We start from the raw sequence: 7,503 nt of genomic DNA, 5'->3' as shown, positions 1-7,503 counted from the left end.
AGAGAAACTAAATCCGAGTCAAACAGAAGCTGAGTCAGAGGGACAGGGAGCGAGTCAGATGTGGAAGGAGGGCGTTGATGACCACCGGGCAGCTCCCTGGCCAGGCCCTCATGGACATTCCTGTGGCCTCCGATGGCAGGGTGGGCTCAGCCCTGAGGGCTGCCCGATGCCCGGGGTCCAGGGCTTGGGTGGGCAGGAGGCCCCGCCTCTGTCCTGGCTTCTGAGAGCTCCCTCCACCTTCACCTTGGGAGACTGCCAAGTCAGCAGGCTGATGAAAGGGGGTGATGCCTGTGCTCAGTGGCAGAGTGTTCCTCAAAGTCTAGGGGAACCCATAGCAGGGGAGAAAGGGCTGGGGATGTTGGGGGTTTGGGGGGCTGGGGAAGGCAGGGGTCCTTGTCTGGGGCCAGCAAGTTGGGGTGCCCAGGCCCAAGGAAGGGGCTGTGTTGAAGAGTAGGGGCGGTGGGTAGGTGTGGAAAGGGGCCTGTCTGGGGTCTAGGGAGCTTTGCAGGGGTCAGAACCACCCCGGGCAGGAATTCAAGAGTGGGGAGATGTGCCCTCTGTCCTCAGCAGTCTGCGGGGGAGAGAGACCACGGGAGGGAGGGCTGTTTGGAGTGGACTGACAGCCTCCCAGAAAGTCATCTGCTCTTCTGGGCACCCCCCAGCAAGGAAAACGACATTGGTCTGAATTTATAACTGGAATCTGTACTCATTAGCTGGTCCTTGCCATCCAGCAAACTCAGCCACAGCCCTACCACTCTCTACCTGCTTTCAATTCCCTGGGAAACCAGGCGAAATTTAGAGTCCCAGAGGTTCCTCTGAGGGTGTGAAGATGGGAATTTGCACTTCCTAGTACTACTTTTACATTTATACTGAGCAGGAAAATGTCCAAAGTATTTACTTTTTCTTTTCTCATTGTGAAACATAACATATGTATATTAAATATATATGTACAGATTAATAAATAATTATAAATCAAACACCTAGGTTTCCACTGCCTAGGTCAAGACATAGAATACTGCTAGTACTCTAGAAGCCCTGTGTTCTTCCCTGATCACAACCCCTGCCCCACCCTGAGGGAACTGGGATCCTGATGTTTGTGTCATCATTTCCTCGTTTGTCTTCCAAAGACTGTAGAGTTTCTTAGATATTATCATCTTTGAGTTTCACAATCACCTTATTATTCCCATTTTACTGATGAGGAAACTGAGGCTCAGGAAGGTTAAATAACTAGTCCAACACTAGAGAAGAAATAAGTGGCAGAACCAGGATCATGTTTTGGATTGGCTGGGTGTTTCCCAGGGTGTTCCTTGGTTAAACTAGAATCCACAGGAAACTCTGGGACAGCCCAGCATTGCGAATAGCACCCCAGTGCCCTAGAGAAGAGGGAGGGCATCTTCATAGCCAGGAGGGGTGCTGCTCACCAGGAATTGTTGACTCTCCTGGCTTTATCAGTAGGATCCTGGTTTCTGAGTACCTGGCAAGAAATGGCAAGGCTCCCAGGGAGATGAGTTGGAGGCTGGGGAAGCAAGAGGAGCTGAGCTGACCTGAGATAGGATCAGTGACTGGAGAGAGCCTTGGGCCCTTCCTGATACATGCCAAGGGAACCCAGGATTGTGGGTATGTGCCTGAGCCAAGTGCTACCCAAGTTTTGCCAGATTCACCAGGTGTGCCCTCCTTGGTGGGCCAGGTGTGCTCGGGGTGTGTGTGTGTGCGCCTGTGTGGGTGTGCATGTGTGTGTGGATGTGGGAGGTGTGCGTGTGTGTGCATGTGTGCTTGTGTGTGTACATGTGTGCATATGTGCGTGTGTGTGCATGTGGGTGTGAATGTGTGTGTGCGTGTGTGTGCATGTGTGTGTGTGCATGTGTACCTGGCATGTCCACATCTATCCACAGACTTGGATTGTTCTGAACCCTTTTCTCTGCCCTCACCTTTTTCTTTATTATAAGATTGTACATGCTTATTATAAAAATTCATATACAAATGTCTAAGTCTAAATTATCTTAGATATAATTTCTTTTAACTATTCCATATTTATCCTTTTATACTTCTTTCAAGTACATTCAAATATATAGTTATTTACATGATTTAGATACACATATCCAAATGTAGTAGTATTAGGTTTATTTTTAACAAAATGGTATCAGAATCTATATATCATTTTTCACCTTTTTTCCCCACTTAATAAGCCTTGGTCATTTTCTCTGCCAGTATCAATGGGTTTATGTCACTTTCAACAGCTGAAGAGTACTCCATTAAACAGATGTATCATCATCTGTTTACCTGGGTGGACTCTTCACTCTGTGCCTAGCTCCCCCAGAAGCTGCGAGAGTAGGGTGCCAGAGGGATGGGGTGAGGACGAGGAGACTAGTCAATGTCGGCCATACCCTGGGAAGCAGCCCAGGCTCAGCGGCCCTTTGACATCTTGCAAATGGATTCCAGAACTCTGCTCCTTCACCACCTCTACAACCCCACCCACTCCCAAGTCCATATCTCCTTCTCCAGTCCTCTGTCTGCTGTCCCCCTGCCCTTCTCCCTCTGACCCTTGACCTCTGTATAGTGCTGCGGGTTTGGGGGTCTCCCGGGTGGGCTCCCTGCTTCCCAGCTCCTGGCCTCTGAGGCTGGCTGATCTCCCAGAACTGTGAGGAACTGGGGCTTGAGGGACCCTGAGTTCAGGAGGCTCTGCCGAGACAGCCTGGCCTGGCCAAGACAGCCACCCAGGCCGACCCAGGGGAGGCACCATGCTAATGGAGAGGCTAGCACTGCCCATGCCCAGATGGCAGCTTCCTGCTTCCCAGAGGGCATGGGGAATGGGGACTGTGCCAGGTAGGCGTGGTGCCCCCGCCCCTGCACCAATGTCATGGAAAATGTGAAGCCTTGATCTTTGTTCTTGATTGTTCCTCCGATTTTTACAACTGGAAACTGGCGGTGTCTTTGTTCCCATCGGCTTAGGAAGGAGATGTTGAGGGCTGGGGACAGGAGGCAGCTGAGTCAGCAGCTGGAGGTGTTGAACTGGTTGCTTCCTCAGACCAACCATGACCCCTTCTCTCTCACTCACACGCACTCAGTTTACCCATCAACGAACCGTACTTTAACAGCACCAGTGGGAGTGGGGATGGGAACAGCCTTCACCGTCCTCCCTGGGCAAGCCATCTCCCCTTGCCCAGGATGGACGGCCAGGCTGTCCACAGCCCTGAACCCCCTGCTTCAGATACCTCTGGTTCCTCTAATGCCCATGGTGGCAAGCAGTTCGCAGCCCGCCTCCTTCCTCAGGGCAGGTCCGGTGTGTCTGTTTACCTCAGGATCCAATTAGAAATTGATGGTAGGGAAACCACTTTGCCAGGTGGCTCCCTCCTGCTGTGTGGGGCCCAGCCTTCTGGTGCCCCCCTGCTCCCTCATGGCCAGAGTTCATGGAAACTTCTCAGGTCACTGACTCTCACCTTCCTTTCCTCCTCAGGAGGGTGGGCCCAGCCCCGCTCCCTGCAGCCTGGCCCCTCCGTTCCCTGAAGGTCCTGCTGTCCTGGCGCAGTGGGGAGGAGGGCAGGCCTGGGGGCTGGACAGCAGCAGGGCCAGGGTGGTGTAAGCAAGGGGAGATGCGCCTCTGCTTCCTGCGACCTTGGCGGTGAGCCTGGGGACAGGGGTGAGGCCAGAGACGGACGGACGCAGGGGCCCGGCCCAAGGCGAGGGAGAACAGCGGCACTGAGGCAGAAAGGAAGAGGGCGGTGTGTTCACCCGCAGCCCAATCCATCACTCAGCAACTCCTAGACGCTGGTAGAAAGTTCCTCCGAGGAGCCTGCCATCCAGTCGTGCGTGCAGGTGTGTGGAGGTGAACAAGTGTCGGGTATGCGCAGGTGTGAGGGGGTGAGCAGGTGTGTGGGGTGCGCAGGTGCGTGTGGGTGAGCAGGTGTATGGGGGTGCGCAGGTGTGAGGGGGTGCGTAGGCGTGTAGGGGTGCACAGGTGTATGGGGGTGCGCAGGTGTGTAGGGGTGAACAAGGGTATGGGGTGCGCGGGTGTGAGGGGTGCGCGGGTGTGTGGGGGTGCGCAGGTGTGTGGGGTGCACAGATGTGTGGGTTGCTCAGGTACGCAGGTGTGTAGCCCGCGCTTTGGGGCCGCAGGAGAGGGAGGTCTGAGAGAGGCTGGCAGTCAAGGCTGCCCCCTGCAGGCGGGAGGGGTGTGGGAGGGGAGCTGGGACCCGCAGCTGGCGCGGTCAGAGAAGGGTGGGCGGTGGGCGGAGGGAGGCAGGGCAGCGGCCTTGCTGGCTCCCGCGCGCAGGACTTCTCTGCTGGCCGGGGCTGCGAGGCCCGCCTCTGTCTGTGTGTCTGTCCGTCTGTCTGTCCGTCCGGGTGGTGCGCCAGGCTGCAGTCGGAGCAGGCAGTGGCGGTGGGTAGAGGAAATGGGACTTTGCCGGCCTGGGGCTGAGCACCTGACCTTTTCTTGGCGATGCTCTGCCTCCCAGGGACCATCGCTCCTGGCTGTGGCCAAGCAGGACTGGGAAGAGCCCCCGTGGCCCCTGCAGGTCAGGCCGCTGCACCCCCTACATCCGATCCACCTCGCTGCCCAAGCGGGACAGGTTATTTTTGTTCCTTCAGATTTTGCCAGTGCCTTTGCACCCCTCTCCGGGAGTTACTCAGTTACCAATGTTGGTTTTCTATTTCCAGAGCAAAGGCAGGTCCTCCCCTCCGCGGCTTTCTCCACCCGAGCGGGGGCTGGGCCTCTGCCTTCCATCCAAGCCTGGGTCCAGGTCCCACAGCCGCGGCTCCCTCGCCTTTGTGGAGGAAGACGGGGGCACCTGAGGGAGAGGGTGCCTCAGCTGTCTTTCATATCTTCCCCTGACCCCTAACCCCACCCTGCTTTCTCCTGGACCATTCCCATCAGCATGCTCTACCTCTCATCTCTAAAAGTATCCCTCTCCAGGATCCGTCTTTGCCAGTACATCGCGCTGACCCTTCCACAGCCGCCTCCTCACAAGAGCAGGGCCCCTTGCTGCCTCCACTTCCTCCCCCAGCCCCAGCCACTGCTTCACTGCAGCTGTTCATATGCAACTCGGCCTGAGGAGAGCTTCTGTGCCTCCCATGTCCTCTCCCAGCAGCCCGGCCTCAGCTGACTACCCTCCGGAGGCCCTCTCTTCTCCCTTCTGCTTCCCCATGCGGCGTTGTCCTTCTGGTTCCTTCTTGCCTTGTCTGTGATTCCTTCTTGCCTTGTCTGTGATTCCTTCTCAGGCCTCTTGGCAGGTTTCTCTTCAAAGTGACTGGAAAGCTAGTGCCACGTGGACTTGGTCCTGCCATCCCCTCTGCTGTGTTTCTGTGGTTTAGACACCATCTGTATGGTGGCAAACCCCATTCTTCCTCTGAGTTCTGACCCCCAGAAGCAGTTCCCTTGAACACTTCTGTTGGAGGCCTCGCGGACATTTCGACTTAATGCATCCAGATGACAACCCTTGATTCCCCCCTGTCACCCCCAATCTAGCCTGCCTCACCTTCATCTTTCTAGTTGCTGAAGACTGCAGTCCTTGGTGCTGCCTTACCTTTCACATCCAATATATCGTCCAGTCCACCAGATCCCACAAAAAATGCACTTGCTTTGCCACCATTCTTCTCAATGGCCACCATGGCCCTGGTTTTTCTAAGCCACCAAAGTGACTGGAAAGCTAGTGCCACGTGGACTTGGTCCTGCCGTACCCTCTGCTGTGTTTCTGTGGTTTAGACACCATCTGTATGGTGGCAAACCCCATTCTTCCTCTGAGTTCTGACCCCCAGAAGCAGTTCCCTTGGAGACTTCTGTTGGAGGCCTCGCGGACATTTCGACTTAATGCATCCATGAAATCCTCTCTTACCTGGACTCCACAGTGGCCTCATGACTGGCCTGCCTGCTGCCAACCCTCACCTCCTCCATTTCAATCTCCAGGAAGTATGAAGAATTGTCTTTTTGGGAGGATCACTTGAGGCCAGGACTTTGAGACCAGCCTGGGTAACATAGCTTGACCTCATCTATTAAAAAAAAAAAAATCAGCCAGGTGTGGTGGCATGCACCTGTCATCTCAGCTACTCGGGAGGCTGAGGTGGGTGGATCACTTAAGCCTGGGAGGTCCAGGCTGCAGTGAGCTGAGACTGCACCACTGCACTCCAGCCTGGGTGACAGAGTAAGACCCTGTCTCAAACAAACAAACAAACAACCAGAACTGTCTTTTAATAGCATTCGGTTCATGATATCTTTTCTCCAGAAGCTTTCAGTGTGCCCATGCGTGTGTGCTGTGTGTGTGCATATGTGCACATGCATGTGTGTGTGTGTTTGGAATGTTACCATAGCCTGTGAGGCCCTGAGTAATTCCACACTTTTCCCATTTTCCCAGCCTTATCTCATACCCCTTATCCTTGGCCAGGTGCTTGAGTCTTTCAGCTCCCACTAGTCAAACTTCTTTTCCTACCATAGGGCCTAGAATCCCATCCTCTCCCAGCATGTGCATGCGTGCGCACACACACACACACACACACACTGAGCTGGCCCCATTTTCATTCTTCACATCCACCTGAGTGTCATCTCTGCAGAGAAGTTTTCCTCACTGCCCTGTCCAAACCAGCCCTCCTCTTCTAATTTCTATTTCAGTCCTCTATTTGATTTCTTTTCATAATAGCATGGATTGTACTTTGTAATAATTTTATTTATTTGTTTCTTCACCTTCACCTTTGCTGTTCACTCCAGAATGTAAACTCTACAGGGCAGGGGCTATGTCTGATATTTCCATCATTGTAACCCCAATGCTTAGCAGACGGCTTGGCACTTGGTAGATGTGCAATAAAAATGTGTCGGATGAGTCAGTGAATAAAAGAATGAATGGTCCCAGTTGCTAAGGTCATTTAGGTTCTGGTGGGACTGGAAGACAGGTATGGAGGAAGGGAAGACCATGGTTGGTAGAAAGGCACTGCCTAGGTAGGCTTTCCAGACTTCACAAATAAAACTACAAGATGCCCAGTTAAATTTGAATTTCAGATAAACAATGGTTTCTTTTAGTATAGGTACATCTGACATTCAAATTCAATTGGGTATCCTATATTTTATCTGGACTAGGTGAGTGAGGAGGGTGTGGTGGGAGGGGGTCCAGGCCTGATGGAGTAATGGGACCCAGGGAGTGTGCAGAGCCCTGGGTTCAGGTGGAGCAGTTATGGAACCTAATCTTAGGCAAGAGCAGGGCACGTCATCACAGCGCACCCGTATGGGACACTCCCAGGGTGATCCTTGGCCCAAGAAAGAAACGAGGCGAAGAGGAAGTGCTGAGAGACACTGAGAGCTGGGTGGGGCTTGGGGGAGGTGGGTCCTGGGGTGGGGATGGGGACTGAGATCCTTGCCCTTTGAAGGTGACAGACAGAACCTGTCAGATGCTTCCTTCTCCATGACCTTCTGACTTGCCAACTTTAGCTCAACACATGCTTATTGGATACCATAGAATGAGCTGGGCACTGTGCCAGGTACTGAGGGCACAGAGATAAGTGAGACTTGTCCCTGCCCTC

This window comes from Homo sapiens, chromosome 12, assembly GCF_000001405.40.
Source record: "Homo sapiens chromosome 12, GRCh38.p14 Primary Assembly".
Classification (NCBI taxonomy): domain Eukaryota; kingdom Metazoa; phylum Chordata; class Mammalia; order Primates; family Hominidae; genus Homo; species Homo sapiens.
Note: the sequence above shows the minus strand (reverse complement) of the source record.